The sequence below is a fragment of the Homo sapiens genome, chromosome 11 (genome assembly GCF_000001405.40).
Source record: "Homo sapiens chromosome 11, GRCh38.p14 Primary Assembly".
In the NCBI taxonomy this organism is placed as follows: Eukaryota; Metazoa; Chordata; class Mammalia; order Primates; family Hominidae; genus Homo; species Homo sapiens.
The window spans coordinates 85,922,693-85,943,592 of NC_000011.10; the positions used below are offsets into that span (position 1 = coordinate 85,922,693).

Sequence of the window (20,900 nt, forward strand, 5' to 3'; positions counted from 1 at the left end):
ATCACCCTCTACTACTATTCTTTGCTATAAATTTCTAACCCTTCTCATCACTCTTCTCCATAATCTTTAATTTGGCACCTGGTTCACAGGCCTCTTTTCCACTCTACTCCATTCCCTAACAGATCCATCTATTGAGATACCTATTAGTCATTCATGAGTATAAAATTGTTGCATGTATGTGTGCTTCTGTTTGACCATCCCAGATCCACTCTCTACCCTTATCTCTGTGTCTCAAAGGGTGACCTTTATGGACTGCGTCAATGTCCTTTGCTTCTAACCTTCTACTGAGTTTGTTTAATAGGAGTTTCTAGCAGGAGATCAAAGAAAGTGAGAAGGGTGAGATTTCTTCCCCCAGCTCTTTCTCTAACAGGTCATGTAGATTAGCAGGGTTCCTCTATCAAAGGCCACTATTCCTGTTGGAAGGCTCACCTAACAAAGGTTGAGCATCCCTAATGTGAAAATCCAAAATCCAAAATGTTCCAAAATCTGAAACATTCTAAGCACTGACACAATGCTACAAGTGGAAAATTCCACACCTGACCTCATGTGATGGGTTGCAGTAAAAACTTTGTTTCATACACAAAAAAAAATTTTAAATAGTATATAAACTTACCTTCAGGTTATGTGTATATGGTGTATCTGAAATATAAATGAAGTTTGCGTTTGGACTTGGGTCTACCCCCAAGATATCTTATTACGTATATGCAAATATTCCAAAATCCTAAAAAATCTGAAATCTGAAACACTTCTGGTCCCAATCATCTCAGACGAGAAATACTGAATCAGTATAGCTACTCTCTAGGTCTGGTAAGTACTCCCTCCCTCTCCCCCTTTAGACCCAGGAGTGGAACAGTTCCCATCTGTTGATAGCCCCAGGGAGTGTTACCATTCCTGTTGGTTTTCCTTGATGCTGCCCACACCTTTGTATATATTGCCTTTGTTAAATTTTCTCCAGGTATCCTGTTTGAATGTGCCCTTTGTTTCCTGCTAGGAAAGGTAAAGGCTGGAGATTCAGATCTGGGAATCAACAGCCCAGGACTGAATTTAAAGCCATGAAAGCTTAAATGACATAACCTAGGGACTGAGTTTCAATAGAGAAAAGAGACATGGATGCACCTGGAATAATTCATTCTGTAGATGTGGGCCCTGAAACTAAAAGGTATCACTCTCAAGAGATTTCAGAGCAGAGGTGGACTGAATCTAAGTAAAACGGCAAACTAGCCCTGACCCAGTTCAACTCTATTTTTTTTCTTCGCTCTCCTCTCTTTCCTTTCCCTCTCCCTCCTCACTCACCACCTACACACGGCACCCACTCCTCACCAGAGCCTCTCGATTCCCCCAGCTCAATTCTTGATTCCTTTGAGGTGATTTTCTCCTCACCTAATATAACTAACAGAGGATAGATTCTTTTTTCTCTGGGGAACAAAGAATACCAACCCAGACACTATACTCCTTGTATTCACAATGTTGAGCATACAAAACTTTATACGTGTGTGTGTGTGTGCACGCGCGTGTACAGTGCAAAGAAGCAGGAAAATAAGACTAAGAATCAGGAGGAAAAGCAAACAATTAAAGCATGCCCACCAATGACCCAGATATTCAAGTCAGTAGGCTAGGACTTTAAGAATATTATTATATGGTGGCTGGCAATATGGCCGAATAGGAACAGCCCTGGTCTGCAGCTCCCAGTGAGATCAACACAGAAAGTGAGTGATTTCTGCATTTCCACCTGAGGTACCCAGCTCATCTCACTGGAACTGGTTAGACAGTGGGTGCAGCCCACGGAGGACGAGCTGAAGCAATGTAGGGCGTCGCCTCACTCGGGAAGCACAAGGGGTCAGGGAAGCCGTGAGGGACTGTGCCATGAGGAATGGTGCATTCTGGCACAGATACTATGCTTTTCTCACGGTCTTCACAACCTGCAGACCAGGAGATTCTCTCAGATGCCTACACCACCAGGGCCCTGGGTTTCAAGCACAAAACTGGATGGCCATTTGGGTAGACACCGAGCTAGCTGCAGGAGTTTTTTTTCATACCCCAGTGGTGCCTGGAATGCCAGCAAGACAGAAACTTTCACTCCCCTGGAAAGGGGGCTGAAGCCAGGGAGCCAAGTGGTCTAGCTCAGCAGATTCCATCCCCATGGAGCCCAGCAAGCTGATATCGACTGGCTTGAAATTCTTGCTGCCAGCACAGCAGTCTGAAGTCAACCTGGGATGCTGGAGCTTGGTGAGGGGAGGGGCATCTGCCATTACTGAGGCTTGAGTAGGAGGTTTTCCCCTCACAGTGTAAACAAAGCCACTGGGAAGTTCGAAGTGGGCAGAGCCCATCACAGCTCAGCAAAGCCCCTGTAGCCAGACTGCCTCTCTAGATTCCTTCTCTCTGGGCAGGGCATCCCTGAAAGAAAGGCAGCAGCCAGCAGCCCCAGTCAGGGGATTATAGAAAAAAGTCCCATCTCCCTGTGATAGAGCACCTGGGAGAAGGGGCGGCTGTGGGCACAGCTTCAGCAGACTTAAACATTCCTGCCTGCCAGCTCTGAAGGGACCAGCAGATCTCCCAGCAAAGCACTTGTGCTCTGCTAAGGGACAGACTGCCTCCTCAAGTGAGTTCCTTAACCCCGTGCCTCCTGACTGGGAGACACCTCCCAGCAGGAATCAACAGATACCTCATACAGGAGAGCTCTGGCTGGCATCTGACGGGCGCCTCTCTGGGATGAAGCTTCCAGAGGAAGGAAGAGGCAGCAATCTTTGCTGCTCTGCAGCCTCCACTGGTGATACCCAGGCAAACAGGATCTGGAGTAGACCTCCAGCAAACTCCAGCAGACCTGCAGCAGAGGGGCCTGACTGTTAGAAGGAAAACTAACAAACAGAAAGGAATAGCATCAACATCAACAAAAAGGACGTCCACACAAAAACCCCATCTGAAGGTCACCAACATCAAAGACCAAAGGTAGATAAATCCATGAAAAGGAGGAAAAACCATCACGAAAAGGCTGAAAATTCCAAAAATCAGAGTGCCTCTTCTCCAAAGGATCACAACTCCTCGCCTGCAAGAGAACAAAACTGGACAGAGAATTGAGTTTGACGAATTGACAGAAGTAGACTTCAGAAGGTGGGTAATAACAAACTCCTTTGAGCTAAAGGAGCATGTTCCAACCCAATGCAAGGAAGCTAAGAACCTTGAAAAAAGGTTAGAAGAATTGCTAACTAGAATAACCAGTTTAGAGAAGGACATAAATGACCTGATGGAGCTGAAAAACACAGCATGAGAACTTTGTGACGCATACACAAGTATCAATAGCCGAATCAATCAAGCAGAAGAAACAATATCAGAGACTGAAGATCAACTTCATGAAATAAAGCAAGAAGACAAGATTAGAGAAAAAAAGAATGAAAAGGAATGAACAAAGGCTCCAAGAAATATGGGACTATATGAAAGTGACGGGGAGAATGGAACCAAGTTGGAAAACACTCTGCAGGATATTATCCAGGAGAACTTCCCCAACCTAGCAAGACAGGCCAACATTCAAATTCAGGAAATACAGAGAACACCGCAAAGATACTCCTCGAGAAAAGCAACCCCAAGACACGTAATCGTCAGATTCACCAAGGTTGAAATGAAGAAAAAATTGTTACCGGCAGCCAGAGAGATAGGTCGGGTTGCCCCCAAAGGGAAGCTCATCAGACTAACAGCGGATCTCTCTGCAGAAATCCTACAAGCCAGAAGAGAGTGGGGGCCAATATTCAACATTCTTAAAGAAAAGAATTTTCAATCCAGAATTTCATATCCAGCCAAACTAAGCTTCATAAGCAAAGGAGAAATAAAACCCTTTACAGACAAGCAAATGCTGAGAGATTTTGTCACCACCAGGCCTGCCTTACAGGAGCTCCTGAAGGAAGTACTAAATATGGAAAGGAAAAGCCAGTACCAGCCACTGCAAAAACATACCAAATTGTAAAGACCATCGACACTATGAAGAAACTGCATCAACTAATGGGCAAAATAACCAGCTAGCATCATAATGACAGGATCAAACACATAACAATATTAACCTTAAATGTAAATGGGCTAAATGCCCCAATTAAAAGACACAGACTGGCAAATGGGATAAAGAGGCAAGACCTATCAGTGTGCTGTATTCAGGAAACCCATCTCACGTGCAAAGATACACATAGGCTCAAAATAAAGGGATAGAGGAATATTTACCAAGCAAATGGAAAGTAAAAAAAAAAAAAAAAAAAAAAAAAGCAGGTGTTGCAATCCTAGTCTCTGATAAAATACACTTTAAACCAACAAAGATCAAAAAAGACAAAGAAGGGCATTACATAATGGTAAAGGGATCAATTCAACCAGAAGAGCTAACTATTCTAAATATATATGCATCCAATACAGAAGCACCCAGATTCATAAAGCAAGTTCTCATAGACCTATGAAGAGACTTACACTCCCACACAATAATAGTGGGAGACTTTAACATCCCACTGTCAATATTAGACAGATCAATGAGACAGAAAATTAACAAGGATATTCAGGACTTGAACTCTGCTCTGGACAAAGTGGACCTAACAGACAGCTACAGAACTCTCCACCCAAAATCAGCAGAATATACATTCTTCTCAGCACCACATTGCACTTATTCTAAAGTTGACCACATAATTGGAAGTAAAACACTCCTTAGCAAATGCAAAAGAACGGAAATCGTAACAAGCAGTCTTTCAGACCACAGTGCAATCAAATTAGAACTCAGGATTAAGAAACTCACTCAAAATCACACAACTACATGGAAACTGAACAACCTGCTCCTGAATGACTACTGAGTAAATAACGAAATTAAGGCAGAAATAAATAAGTTCTTTGAAACCAATGAGAACAAACACACAATCTACCAGAATCTCTGGGACACAGCTAAAGCAGTGTTTAGAGGGAAATTTGCAGCACCAGATGCCCACAGGAGAAAGTAGGAAAGATCTAAAATCGTCACCCTAACATCACAATTAAAAGAACTAGAGAAGCAAGAGCAAACAAATTCAAAAGCTAACAGAAGACAAGAAATAACTAAGATCAGAGCAGAAATGAAGGAGATAGAGACACGAAAAACCCTTCAAAATACAAAAATTAGCTGGGCATGGTGGCATGTGCCTGTAATCCCAACTACTCAGGACGCTGAGGCAGCAGAATCGCTTGAACCAGGGAGGCGGAGGTTGCAGTGAGCTGAGATTGCACCACTGCACTCCATCCTTGCGACAGAGCAAGACTCCGTCTCAAAAAAAAAAAAAAATTTAATGAATCCAGGAGGTGTTTTTTTGAAAAGGTTAACAAAATAGATAGACTGCTAGCTGGGCTAACAAAAAAGAAAAGAGAGAAGAATCAAAAGACACAATAAAAAACGATAAAGGAGATATCACCTCTGATCTCACAGAAATACAAACTACTATCAGAGCATACTATAAACACCTCTATGCAAACAGACTAGAAAATCTAGAAGAAATGGATACATTCCTGGACACATACACCTTCCCAAGACTAAACCAGGAAGTTGAATCCCTGAATAGACCAATAACAAGTTCTGAAATTGAGGCAGTCATTAATAGCCTACCAGCCAAAACAAGCCCAGGACCAGACTGATTCACAGCTGAATTCCACCACAGGTACAAAGAGGAGTTGGTACCATTCCTTCTGAAACTATTCCAAACAATAGAAAAAGAGGGACTCCTCCCTAACTCACTTAATGAGGCCAGCATCATCGTGATACCAAAACCTGGCAGAGACAACACAAAAGAAAATTTCAGACCAATATCCCTGATGAACATCGATGCGAAGACCCTCAGTAAAATACTGGCAAACCGAATCCAGCAGCACATCAAAAAGCTTATCCACCATGATCAAGTCAGCTTCATCCCTGGGATGCAAGGCTGGTTCAACATATGCTAATCAATAAACTTAATCCATCACATAAACAGAACCAATGACAAAAACCACATGATTATCTCGATAGATGCAGAAAAGACCTTCAATAAAATTCAACACCCATTCATGCTAAAAACTCTCAATAAACTAGGTATTGATGAAACGTATCTCAAATAATAAGAGCTATCTATGACAAACCCACAGCCAATACCATACTGAAGGGGCAAAAGCTGGAAGCATTCCCTTTGAAAACCAGCACAAGACAAGGATGCCCTCTCTCACCACTCCTATTCAGCATAGTATTGGAGGTTCTGGCCAGGGCAATCAGGCAAGAGAAAGAAATAAAGGGTATTCAAATAGGAAGAGAGAAGTCAAATTGTCTCTGTTGGCAGATGACATGATTGTATATTTAGAAAACCCCATCCTCTCAGCCCAAAATCTCTTTAAGCTGATAAGCAGCTTCAGCAAAGGCTCAGGATATAAAATCAATGTGCAAAAATCACAAGCATTCCTATACACCAATAATAGACAAACAGCCAAATCATGACTGAACTCCTATTCACAATTGCTACAAAGAGAATAAAATACCTAGGAATACAACTTACAAGGGATGTGAAGGACCTTTTCAAGGAGAACTATAAACCACTGCTCAAGGAATTAAGAGAGGACACAAAAAAAAAAATGGAAAAACATTCCATGCTCACGGATAGGAAGAATCAATATTGTGAAAATGGCCATACTGCCCAAAGTAATTTATAGATTCAATGCTATTTTTATCAAGCTACCATTGACTTTCTTCACAGAATTAGAAAAAAAAACTACTTTAAATTTCATATGGAACCAAAAAAGAGCCCGTATAGCCAAGACAATCTTAAGCAAAAAGAACAAAGCTGGAGGCATCACACCACCTGATTTCAAACTATACTACAAGGCTACAGTAACTAAAACAGCACGGTACTAGTACCAAAACAGATATATAAACCAATGGAACAGAACAGAGGCTTCAGAAATAACACCATACATTTACAACCATGTGATCTTTGACAAACCTGACAAAAACAAGCAATGGGGAAAGGATTCCCTATTTAATAAAAGGTGTTGGGAAAACGGGCTAGTCATATGCAGGAAACTGAAACTGGACCCCTTCCTTACAGCTTATACAAATATTAACTCAAGATGGATTAAAGACTTAAAGGTAAGACATAAAATCATAAAAGCCCTAGAAGAAAACCTAGCAATACCATTCAGGACATAGGCATGGGCAAAGACTTTGTGACTAAAACACCAAAAGCAATGGCAACAAAAGCCAAAATTGACAAATGGTATTTAATTAAACTAAAGAGCTTCTGCACAGCAAAAGAAACTATCATCAGAGTGAACAGGCAACCTATAGAATGGGAGAAAATTTTTGTAATCTATCCATCTGACAAAGGGCTAATATCCAGAATCTACAAGGAACTTAAACAAATTTACAAGAAAAAAACAACCCCATCAAAAAGTGGGCAAAGGATATGAACAGACACTTCTCAAAAGAAGACATTTATGCAGCCAACAAACATATGAAAAAAAAAAAGCTCATCATCACTGGTCATTAGAGAAATGCAAATCAAAACCACAATTAGATACCATCTCACACCAGTTAGAATTACGATCATTAAACAGTCAGGAAACAACAAGTGCTGGAGAGGATGTGGAGAAATAGAAATTATTTTACACTGTTGGTGGGAGTATAAATTAGTTCAACTATTGTGGAAGAGAGTGTGGCGATTCCTCAAGTATCTAGAACCAGAAATACCATTTAACCCAGCAATTCCATCACTTGGTATATACCCAAAGGATTATAAATCATTCTACTATAAAGACACATGCACATGTATGTTTATTGCAGCACTGTTCACAATAGAAAGACTTGGAACCAACCCGAATGCCCATCAGTGATAGGCTGGATAAAGAAAACGTGGCACATATACACCATGAAATACTACGCAGTCATAGAAAAGGATGAATTCATGTCCTTTGCAGGGACATGGATGAAGCTGAAAACCATCATTCTCAGCAAACTAACACAGGAACAGAAAAACAAACACCGCACGTTCTCACTCATAAGTGGGAGGTGAACAATGAGAACACATAGACACAGGGAGGGGAGCGTCACACACTGTGGCCTGTCGGTGGGTGGGGGGACTAGGGGAGGGATAGTATTAGGAGAAATTCCTAATGTAGATGACGGGTTGATGGGTGCAGCAAATCACCATGGCACATGTATACCTATGTAACAAACCTGCACGTTCTGTGAGGTATTGCTCCTCACAAGATGACATTAGCTGCAGGGGTCTGCCCACCGACCCAGACCCAAACGATGGATGAATAAAACGTACACTGACACACAGATACTCTGTTTCGCCAGTCTTGCTGAGTGTCCAACCGCCTACACACCAAGAGAGGTTTGTGACGTGGCCGGTCCTGAGCAGCCCGCACTTCAGGCATTTATTTAGTATAAAATTAACAACAGAAGCTTTGAATAAACACACTTGTGGATAATTAACATGGTTAAGAGAGTAGTTCTACTAATGATTAAAGCTCAGGTACTGCAGTTTAAAGTAAATACCATTGGGGGCAATATCCTTGGTCGACCTCCCTCCGAGAGGGCCATCTGGCTCAAAGGTTAGTTAATGGAGGTAGGGTAAACAGACATAACTGGGGAAGCCTCTATTGTCCCTAGTATTTACCCTATGACCTAATGCTCTAAGGTAAGAACCCACTGCCTTCAGCCTGTTCAATTATTACAATCTATGTAATCTTGCAGCCTTCCAAAAAGGTTTGTGACTATTCTCTAAAACTTTCCCTAATATTTCCCTTTAATATTTCTGCCACTATCCTGAGTGAATCCCAACAGCTCTGCACATGTATCCCAGAACTTAAAGTATAAAAAAAGAGAATATTATTATAAATATGTTAAAGAAAGCAAGGAAAAGATGAATAAAACAGGTAAAAATATGAAGAATTTCAACAGAGCATTAGACTCTATAAAGAAGAACCCAACGGACATTCTAGAAATCAAAATATACAAAATCAAAAAGTAATAAATCAGTCTAATGGCAGACTGGATATGGAAGAAACCAGAAATAGTGAAATTTGGGATAAGTCAATATCCAATATCCAAAAATAGTCAAACACAATTCCAGAAAGAATAAAGAATAGAAAGAGCAGAACACAGTGGTAATGAACATGTGCAATTAAGCAGTCCAACATCCGCTAACTGCAGTTAGTGTTCAAGGAAAAGCGGTAGTAGGGATAAAGGAGAAGAAATATTTGAAGACATAATGGCTGAGTTTACCAAAACTGATTAAAGACAATCTACAGATTCAAGTTCTAAAGAACTGACACATGGAATCTAAGCATAATGCTGTTAGCAGTGGCCAATCTGTATGGGTCTGCAGCAAACTGAATTCTTGCCTCCTCAGAAGAAAGAATTCAACCAAGAGGCATAAGGCAAAGGGAGAGACCAGGGCAAGTTTTAGAGCAGGAGTATTAAAAAGTTTAGAGCAGGAATGAAAGGAAGAAAAGTACACTTGGAAGAGGGCCTAGCAGGTGACTTGAGAAATCAAGTGGATGGTGTGACCTTCGACTTGGAGTTTTACATGCTGGCATGCTTCTGGGGTCTTGCGTTACTTCTCCCCTGGTTCTTCTCATGGGCTGAGCTGACCGCATGTGCAGTGGCTTGCCAGCCCTTGGGAGGGGCTGCATGTCCAATGTGTTAACAGGAGTTGTATGCATGCTCACTTGAGGCACTCTTACCTTACCAGTTGAATGTTCCTAGAAGGTCATATAGCAGTTAAAGTCCCCCATTTTGCCTCTCAATGTACATGCTTGAGCCCACTCCCCCAACTACTGAGATCTTATCAGGAAGCTGCTGATCACGAGTTCCAGGTGTTTCTATCTATTGGGAGACCGCCTTTCCCTGGCACCAGTTGTAACCAATATTTATTTATTTATTTGTTTATTTATTTGTTTATTTAGAGATGGAGTCTGGCTCTATCACCTAGGCTGGAGTGCAGCAGCGCAATCTCAGCTCACTGCAACCTCCACCTCCTGGATTCAAGCGATTCTCCTGCCTCAGCCTCCCAAATAGCTGAGATTACAGGCATGAGCCACCACGCCCTGCTACTTTTTTTGGATTTTTAGTAGAGCCCGGGTTTCACCGTGTTGGCCAGGCGGGTCTCAAATTCCTTAGCTCTGGTAATACGCTGGCCTCGACCTCCCAAAGTGCTGGGATTACAGGCATGAGCCACTGTGCCCTGCCAATTATTATTTTAAAGAGACAGTTAAAACCGCCTGACCATCACTTGATGGTTGCCTGATGTTCCTGGTGGAGTGGGGACCCTCTCCTGCCTGCTAATGTCTGCCTGACTACCTACTGTAACAATGCCATATCTTGAAAGGGGGTCCTGATACAGAGAATGAGACATTTGGCCAAAACTAAGCAAATCTGAATAAATGTATAAACTTTAGACAAGAACAACACATATTGCAATATTGGTTCATTAATTGTGTGAAAAGTACCATACTAAAGACAAAGATTAATACAGGACAAACTGAGTGTGGCGTATATGAGATCACTGTACGTCCCATCATTGTCTTTTGTAAATCTAAAACCTTGAAGATAATAGTCTGTTTATAAATAAATAAAGTCACAGACTGCAAAAAGATACACCATGGGCCAGGTGTGGAGCACTTTGGAAAGTTGAAACCAGAGGATCACTTGAGTCCCCAGGAGTTCGAGACCAGCCTGGGAAACATAGGGAGACCCCCTTCTCTACATAGAATAAATTTTTAAAATTAGCTCGAAGTGGTGGAGTGTGACTGTGGTCCCAGCTTCTCAGGAGGCTGAGGTGTCAGGATCACCTGAGCATGGGAGGTTAAGGCTATGACTATACCACTGCACTACAGCCCAGGTGATGGAGTAAGACCCTGTCTCAGAAAAAAAAAAAGGATACACCATGCAAACATCAACCAAAATGAAGACAGTTTGACCAAACTAATATCAGACAAAGTAGACTTTAAGGCAGGAAGTATTAAGATTAAAAAAAAATGAAGAAAAATATAATAGTAAATGAGCCAGTTCATCAGAATGACATAACAATCCTAGATTTGTATGCACATAATAAACATGGTCTCAAAATACATAAAGCAAAGTTTACCAAAGTAAAAAAGATACAGTAAATTGTATGTTATATATATTTCATAATAAAAAAGGAAAAAGAAAAAAGAGACAAATACAGACTTGAAGATCTTACTGCACCTCTCTCAACAAGTGATAAATCAATTCGACAAAATTAATATAAGTTAACGACTGTATAACGTTCATTCCTTTCATGTGGACATGAAACATTTCCAAAAATAGACCACATGCAAGTCATAAAGAAGTCACAACAAATACTCAGAAAAATTGTAATCACATAGAATGTGTTCTCTGACCACTGTGGAATTTTATTTTTTTATTTTTTTTTTTGAGATGGAGTTTCACTCTGTCGCCTAGGCTGGAGTGCAGTGGCATTATCTCGGCTCCCTGCAACCTCCGCCTCCCGGGTTCAAGTGATTCTCCTGCCTCAGCCTCCCGAGTAGCTGGGATTATAGGCGCCTGCCACCATGCCAAGCTAATTTTTGTATGTTTAGTAGAGACGGGGTTTCACCATGTTGCCCAGGCTGGTCTCAAACTCCTGACCTCAGGTGATCCACCGCCTCGGCCTTCTAAAGTTCTGGGATTACAAGTGTGAGCCTCGGCACCCAGCCCACGGTGAAATTTAAAAACAACAACAACAAAAACCCTTCAAATAATTAGAAAGTAAGCAGAACACTTTTTAATAACTCATGAGAAAATATTTTGAATAATGAAAATATGACATGTCAAAACCTTTTGGATCCAGCAAAAGTTGTGTTTAAAGACAAATATATAACTTTAAATTCATGTATTAAAAAAGAAAGGCTGAAAAATCTCAAGCTGTTACCTTAAGGATTGTGAACCCCGAAAATTTCAGGCAGGTCTCAGTTAATTTAGAAAGTTCATTTTGAGTGCGGAGTTCAGGAAGCTCGGACCGAAGGCCGCCACTGGGCGGGCGCCCAGCCTCCCGCCCGCGTCCGCGCCTCGAGCCCCACACGCTCTGGCGGCCGCCGCGCCAGCGTCTGGGAAGGCCAAGCTGACGCACCTGGGGAAGGCGATCCTGGCAGGCGGCCTGGCGGGCGGCATTGAGATCTACATCACCTTCCCCACCCAGTACGTGAAGACGCAGTGGCAGCTGGACTAGCCCTCGAACCCGCCGCGGTACCAGAGCATCGGGGAGTGGGTGTGGCAGACAGTCCGCAGCCATGGCGTTCTGGGCCTGTACCGCAGTCTCAGCTCCCTGCTCTACGGCTCCATCCCCAAAGCGGCCGCCAGCTTCGGAATGTTCTAGTTCCTCGGCAACCACCTGCGGGATTCCCAGGGACGGCTGGACAGCACGCGCGGGCTGCTGTGCTGCCTGGGCGCTGGAGTGGCTGAGGCCGTGGTGATCGTGTGCCCCATGGAGACCATCAAGGTGAGGTTCATCCACGACCAGACCTCCCCAAACCCCAAGTACCGAGGATTCTTCTACGGGTTAGGAAGATTGTGCGGGAACAAGGGCTGAAGGGGATGTATCAGAGCCTCACGGCCACCGTACTGAAACAGGGCTGGAACCAGGCCATCCGCTTCTTCGTCATGACATTCCCTGCACAACTGGTACCGAGGAGACAACCCCAACAAGCCCATGAACCCGCTGATCACTGGGGGCTTCGGAGCCATCGTGTGCACAGCCAGCGTCTTTGGAAACACTCCTCTGGACGTGATTAAGACCCGCAGGTAGGGCCTGGAGGCGCACAAATACCGGAACTTGATGGACTGTGGCTGGCAGATCCTGAGGAAGGAGGAGCTCAAGGCATTCTACAAGGGCATTGTCCCGCGCTGGGCCAGGTCAACCTGGATGTGGCCATAGTGTTTATCATCTATGATGAGGTGGTGAAGCTGCTCAACAAAGTGGAAGACGGGCTAAGCCCAGTGGGGCCACTGGTGCCCCAGGCACCTCCAGAGGCCCCACCACTCTTGTCTCACATGATTCCAGTGCAGTAGTGCCAAAAGGCTCCTTTCCACATCCCTTGAGCTCTGTGACCTGGTCTGTGCATTGTGGCCGTCAAGTCCATGTGTCCTATAGCGCCGTGTCTCCCCTGTGGTCTCTGTGTGACACCACCACTGTGTCCCGCTGTCTGGCCCAGCCATGCTTAGTATGCATCTGGCCTGTGAACCTGTGCCCACTTGTCCATGTGCTTACTATGAGCCTGTGCCTGTGTTTCATGTTCTGTGTCATGTGACCCTGTGCCCGCCTCCCAGGGTGCCCTGTGGCCTGGGTCCTTGGCCCTGTAGCCCTGGCCCGGTCCCAGTCTGGTGCTTTCCACCCTCCACTGGCCTATCACCGCTGCCTCCGGGCCTCCCCCTGGCTTCTCCGCATTCTAGAGTCTGCAGCACCCCCCTTCTCCCGCCATTGGCCTTAACTGGCCCTTGGGCCCTTCCTCCACCCAGGACAGGGTGGCACCCACCACTCTCAGGACCACCGTGCAGAATTTTAAAAAAAGGTATTTTGCCAAGGTTGAGGACACACACCCATGACACAGCCTCAGGAAGTCCTGATGACGTGTGCCCAAGGTGGTCAGGGCAGTTTGGTTTTGTATATTTTAGGGAGACATGAGACATCAATCAACATATGTAAGATGAACATTGGTTCTGTCTGGAAAGGTGGGACAACTTGAAGCAGGGAGGGGGCTTCCAGGTCATGGTAGATAAGAGACAAATGGTTGCATTCTTTTGAGTTTCTGATTAGCCTTTCCAAAGGAGGCAATCAGATGTGCATTTATCTCAGTGAGTAGAGGGGTGACTGAATAGAATGGGAGGCAGGTTTGCCCTAAGCAGTTCACAGCTTGACTTTTCCCTTTAGCTTTGTGATTTTGGGGGCCCAAGATATTTTCCTTTCACAGGATCTAGGAAAAAAAAATAAATCCAAAGTAAAGGTAAGAAAATACAGATGAGAACACTGTTTCAGGAAAAACTGTCGCAAACAGTGTTTTTCCTTTACTTGCCCACCACAACAATCAACACAGAGGACCTCGTTTTAAAATTTTTATATTTTTTTACCCAAAACAAAAATGGTCAATAATACAGAAGACTTCTGTGACCAAATGTGGGGTTTTTTGCCACATGCCGAGCAGTAGACACCAGCTGGGTGTTCTCCAATTCAGTTCCAACACGATCTACCTGGATATGGTGTCAGAACCCATAGAGTGAGGGGGCTCAGTCCCCAAGACTGCCCCGCTTAAGCCCCACAATCAGAGTGGCAGGGAAACATTAGACTCCTGCCTTGGGGCAAGTGAAAGGAAGACAGGAGAGAGATTCTGTTTTCTGAGGCCGCTGGTTGGGTCTAACACATCCAACATTATAACAACAAAAGATTGTAACAAGGTGTTCATAGAACGGGTAATTTTAAAAAAAGAAAAAAGACCGCAACGAGGGATATGGGAATGATGAACCAACTATATATCATAACACCACAAGCAGAAACCAATTAAAGAGAAAGCTGACATACACAGGAGAAAATCAACAAACCCAAAAGTTGGTTCTGATAAACTCTAGTGCTGCCTGATGGGTTCATCTTACCTGCTGCCCAGAAAGCCCAACACACTGAGAACAGCAGGTTTTTTGCAGCAAAGAAAGAGTTTAATTAGGCCGGGCATGGTGGTTCACGCCTGTAATCCCAGCACTTTGGGAGGCCAAGGCGGGTGGATCACCTGAGGTCAGGAGTTTGAGACCAGCCTGGCCAACATGGTAAAACCCTGTCTTTACTAAAAAGACAAAAATTAGCCAGGCATGGTGGCACATGCCTGTAGTCCCAGCCACATGGGAGGCTGAGGCAGGAGAATCTCTTGAACCCGGGAGGCAGAGGTTGTGGTGAGCCAAGATCACACCATTACATTCCAACCTGGGCAACAGAGCAAGACTCTGTCTTAAAAAAAAAAAAGAAAAGAAGAAGAGTTTAATTAATGCAGGGCTAGCCAAGCAGAAGATGGACTTTATTACTCAAATCAGCCTCCCAGACAACTCAGAGGCTACGGTTTTTTGGATAATTTGGTGAGCAGGGGGCTAGGGTATGAGTGCTGCTGATTGGTTAGAGATTAAATTGTAGAAATGTAGAAACCAGTCCTTGTGCGCTGTGTCAGCCTCTGGGTGGGGGCCACAAGAGTCATGAGCCACAGGTCCAGGTGGAGTCAGTCAGTAGCCAGAGTGCAAAAGTCTGAAAAAACATCTCAAAAGACCAATCTTAGGTTCTACAATAGTGATGTCATCTATAGGAGCAATTGGAGAAGTCACAAATCTTGTGACCTCTGGTCACATGACTCCTGAGCAGTAAGGGATTATAGAAAAGCAAGCTAGGGAACAATGCTGGTTATCTTTACACCTACATTTTAGTAGAATTCAATCTCCCCTCATAACCCTAATCTTGTGACTTTTCATTAGTCTTACAAAGCTGGTTTCAGTCCCAGAACAAAGAGGGGATGAGTTTTAGGGAGGGACTATTATTATTTTTGCTTCAATGCTAAACTGTAAACCAAATTTCTCCCATTGTTAGCTTGGCCTATGCCCAGGAATAAGCAAGGCCAGCCTGCCTGTGAGTCTAGAAGCAGGATGAAGTCAGCCATGCTAGACGTCTCTCGCTGTCATAATCTTTGCAAAGGCAGCTTCAGTTCAAAACCAGCCTGGGCAACATAGTGAAACCCTGTCTCTACAAAAATTTAAACATTAGCTGGGTGTGGTGGTGCATGCCTGTAGTTTGTTTTAGCTACTTAGGAGGTTGAGGCAGAAGATTGCTTGAGCCCAGGAGTTTGAGGTTACAGTAACCTATGATCATGCCACTATACCCCAGCCTGGGTGACAGAGGGGGACCCTGTCTCTAAAAAAGTAAAAATAGGCCAGGAGCAGTGGCACACCTGTATTCCCAACACTTTGGGAGGCTGAGGTGGGACGATTGCTTGAGCCTAGGAGTTTGAGACCATCCTGGGAAACACAGTGAGACCCCATCTCTACAAAAATAAAAATTAAAAAATTAGCCAGGCCTCGGTGGCATGTGCCTGTGGTTCCAGCCACTTGGGAGTCTGAGGTGAGAGGACTGCTTGAGCCCTGGAGGTTGAGGCTGCAGTGAGCTATGATCATGACATTGCACTCCAGCCTGGGTGACAGAGCAAGACTTTGTCTGAAAAAAAAAAAACAAAGTAAAAGTAAAAAAAGAAAGGAAAATGTTGAAGAAACTAAACATCGACAAGAATACAGAGCACCTGAAACTTTCATATAATTGGTGGCAAGACTGTAACTGGGAATGAACACTGAAATATGTTTTGCCAATATTTATTAAACCTGAACATGTATATACATATACTGCATGACACGGCAATTCCACTTTGGGCTTTATATCCAACTGAGATGAATGCTTATGTTCACCAGAAGACATGTACAAGACTGTTCCCAGCAGCTGTAATGATAATAGCCAAAAACTGGAAACAACCCCAATAACTATCAGTAATAGAACCTGTAAGTCAATTGTGCTATTCTCACTACTAAGCACTCAATAAAAAAAAAAAAAAGTAAATTGTGCTTAGTCACACTATGGAATATCACACAGCATAAAGAAGAATAAACTACTGACACGTGTAGCTATAATATACAAGTGAATCTTACAGATGTAATATTGAAAGAAGGCAGACATACAGTATGATTCAATTTAATAAAGCTCAAAAAGAAGACAAGCAACCAATCTATGATGATAGAAGTCAGAACAGTGGCTATCTTTGTGGTGGGTAATGACTAGGATGAGACATGAAGGGCTTTTCTGGTAATCTTGATCTGAGTGGTAATTAACCTGGGTGTGCTCACTTTGTAAACATTCATCAAGCAGGACTCTTAAGGTTTGTGTATTTGACGGGTGTATCTTACACTTCAAAATGGAGTGAAGTTGCCATTTTTTAAAGAATGGTAAACTTGTTATAGGTAAGATTTATCTCTATTTTTCTCAGGAAAAAAAAAAAACTTACTTTCCACTGGGACAAATCAAACAGCTTCTAGTAACCAACAAAAACAGCCTATGTGGCAACTCACTGATTTCAGCAGGTCAACAGAAATTGATTTTTTCTCTCACACTTGGAGAGTTCGGATCATGATTTTAAAGCAAGCCAGTCATAACATGTTAAGAATCCCACCTAATTTGTTAGTTGTGGCAGTTTTTCCTTCACAGTGTGAATTTGAGTCAGAAGAAAATATCAAGTGACTATATAAGGAAAATGGCTGTGCTTCCAAGACAAGGATACCCTCTCTCACCACTCCTATTCAACATAGTATTGAAGTTCTGCAAGGGCAATTAGGCAAGAGAAAGAAATAAAGGGTATTCAAATAGGAAGAGAGGAAGTCAAATTGTCTCTGTTTGCAGATGACATGATTGTATATTTAGAAAACCCCATCCTCTCAGCCCAAAATCTCCTTAGCTGCTAAGCCACTTCAGCAAAGTCTCAGGATACAAAATCAATGTGCAAAAATCACAAGCCTTCCTATACACCAATAATAGACAGAGAGCCAAATCATTACGGAACTCCCATTCACAATTGCTACAAAGAATAAAATACCTAGGAATACAACTTACAAGGGATGTGAAGGACATTTTCAAGGAGAACTACAAACCACTGCTCAAGGAATTAAGAGAGGACACACAAAAAAAATGGAAAAACATTCCATGCTCATGGATAGGAAGAATCAATATTGTGAAAATGGCCATACTGCCCAAAGTAATTTATAGATTCAGTGCTATACCCATGAAGCTACCATTGACTTTCTTCACAGAATTTTAAAAAACTACTTTAAATTTCATATGGAACCAAAAAAGAGCCCGTATAGCCAAGACAATCCTAAGCAAAAAGAACAAAGCTGGAGGCATCATACTACCTGACTTCAAACTATACTACAAGGCCACAGTAACCAAAACAGCATGGTACTAGTACCAAAACAGATATATAGACCAATGGAACGAACAGAGTCTTCAGAAATAACATCACACATCTACAACCATTTGCTCTTTGACAAAGCTGACAAAAACAGGAAATGGGGAAAGGATTCCCTATTTAATAAATGGTGTTGGAAAAACTGGCTATCCATATTCGGGAAACTGAAACTGGACCCCTTCCTTACACCTTATACAAAAATTTACTCAAGATGGATTAAAGATTTAAATGTAAGATGTAGAATCATAAAAACCCTAGAAGGAAACCTAGACAATACCATTCAGGACATAGGCACACCCTAATTGAATGGCTGATGGTGGCCATACAAATGGTATGGAATGACACCAGAGAAATACCAGAAACTGTGAGTAAATGGCAGTTGTATACAGATTTGGTGCAAGTAATTTGGGAGATGGGTATATGGCAGGCTATGTTCGATCTGAATACCTGAGGGCCAGATGATGAACGCTTTACCTCCCACATGAGGGACCTTGTATTGGGCTCTGCCCCGCCAAGTGCCTTCGGCTCCCTGGCCGCTCTCCTCACTCCATATGTGGGGTGCCACATACTTGAAGTGACTACTGCCATGGCGGCCCTTGGGGAAGCAAAGGGCCATTAGTGGGACCTAGGAATCTACACCATAAAAAGGGGAACAGTACCCCTTCTGCAGGGTGCCACCTCATGGGACAAAAAGGGGCCCCAGTGGATGACCCACATGCCACCAGATATAGATTGATTTGATTTTGGATAGGGTTGACCAAGAGAAAATTGATAGGCAACCCAATGAAGTGCCGTTAACTTTGTAGAGGCAACTGTCCCTGGAGCAGCAATTCCAGAAAATGCCCAAGAGGTGGCAGGATGATGCTGCTCAGCTCAGTACCCCCGGCCACTCCATCTCAAGCACTACTTGCAGATGGATGGAGGTATAGAAATTTTTGTGTTTGATAAGGGAACTGGCCGAGGTGCTCGGCTTGGGGGAACACTGGACAACTGGAGGCCACAAGTGGAATTGACAATCCACTGGTCCCCCACCAACATACAGCGGGTGCTGGTGCTGGTAGACACTGGCACAGATTGTACTCTCGTCTGTGGGAACCTGGATAAATTTCCAGGCAAGGCTGCATATATAGATGGCTATAGAGGTCAGTCAGTGAAAGTGAAACCTGCATCTTTGCACCTTGGCATTGGCTGCTTGGCTCCCCACTTATAAACTATGTTTCTCCCATACCTGAATACATTTTGGGGGTGGATACTTTACATGGCTTGGCTTTACAAACCACGGATGGGGAATTCAGACTCCAAGTATGTGGGGTTAAGCTGGTACTCCACAGACATACACATCACTAGCTCCATGTCCTGCCACAACCCTTATGGATTACTTCCACGTGTCAATACCACTTGCCAGGTGAGCATACAGAGATAACTGAGACTATTAAGAAGTTAGAAAAGGTGCAGATAATGTGTAACACCTACAGACCCTACAATTTTCCAGTATGGCCAGTCAAGAAGCCTGATGGAACTTGGCAGATGACAGTGGATTATTGAGAACTAAATAAAGTAATACCCCTTTTACATGCAGCTGTACCCTCTATCATGGATTTGATGGACCCCTTGACAATGAAGTTGGGAGAGTACCACTATGTGGTGGACTTGGCCAATGCATTCTTCTCAGTTGACATTGCTCCAGAGAGCCAGGAAGTTTGCCTTCACATGGGAAGGGCAACAGTGGACTTTCACAGTGCTGCCGCAGGGCTATATGTGTAGCCCCATCATACATCATGGTCTCCTTGCCACGGATTTAGCCGCCTGGAAGTGTCCAAAGGGAATCCACCTATTCCATTATATTGATGATATTATGTTAACCTCTGATTCTCTTGCAGGTTCAGAAGTGGTGGCACCCCTTTTACAACAACATTTGGCAGCATGAGGTTGGGCAGTCAACAAATCCTAGGTCCAAGGGCCTGAACTGTCTGCCAAATTATTGGTAGTTATCTGCTTGGGTAAAACAAAGGCTATACCAGAGGCCATCACTGATAAAATTCAGGCATATACCCGGCCCACAACAATGAGGCAACTACAGACTTTTGTAGGCCTCTTGGGATATTGGTGGGCATTTGTACCCCATTTGGCTCAGATGGTAAAACCGTTGTGTCAGTTGACAAAAATGGGAACTACTTGGGATTGGGACAATGAGGCTGAGATGGCTTTTCTGGCAGCCAAGTGGGCCATACAGCAAGCACAGGCCCTACAAGTAATTGATCGGGGCGCCCATTTGAACTTGATGTGCGTGTGACCACAGATGCTTTTGGCAAGGCCTATGGCAGCACACAGAGGGCTTTAGAATACTGGCAGGCTTTTGGTCCCAACTTTGGAAGGAAGCTGAGCTCTGGTATTCATTGATAGGGAAGGAGTTAATAGCTGCATATGCCACCCTTCAGGCTTGTGAGAGTGTGATGGGACAAACAACAGTAGTCATGCCTGTAGATGACTTACCCAATAGTGGGGTGGGTACCTTCACGGGTAATGACCCTCCGGACTGGGATGGCACAGACATCTACCTTAGCAAAGTGGGGAGCCTAGTCAAAACAGCAGAGTACCCTGAGTAAAAGCCCCTTATCAGCAGAATTACAAGAAGTCTTGGGACCTGTAGTCCTGATGCAAGATAAGGCCATGGGTCAACCTGAGGCACCCTTAAACCCTGAGCCATTACCATTTAAAGAGGGGCAGGCACCTCTTCCATTCCCAGTGGAGCATGGTATAAAGATGGGTCCAGCCAGGGTGTTACTGCTGCCTGGACTGCTGTTGCGGTCCAGCCTAGTATTGATACCATATGGTTTGATACTGGAGGTGGACAAAGTCAGTGAGCTGAACTCGGGGCAGTATGGATGGTGATC

General features: G+C 43.6%; 1 pseudogene, besides 2 other annotated features; it reads left to right on the top strand.

Moving 5' to 3' along the window:
- Positions 11,975 to 13,158, top strand: SLC25A1P1 (solute carrier family 25 member 1 pseudogene 1; annotated as a pseudogene).
- Positions 12,852 to 13,443: an enhancer, noted in NCBI's record as "H3K4me1 hESC enhancer chr11:85646587-85647178 (GRCh37/hg19 assembly coordinates)". NCBI's record gives its function as "activates a minimal SCP1, AML or CMV promoter by ChIP-STARR-seq in primed H9 embryonic stem cells {active_cell/tissue: H9 hESC(primed)}" and the evidence as "EXISTENCE:reporter gene assay evidence [ECO:0000049][PMID:30033119]".
- Positions 13,444 to 14,034: an enhancer, noted in NCBI's record as "NANOG-H3K4me1 hESC enhancer chr11:85647179-85647769 (GRCh37/hg19 assembly coordinates)". NCBI's record gives its function as "activates a minimal SCP1, AML or CMV promoter by ChIP-STARR-seq in primed H9 embryonic stem cells {active_cell/tissue: H9 hESC(primed)}" and the evidence as "EXISTENCE:reporter gene assay evidence [ECO:0000049][PMID:30033119]".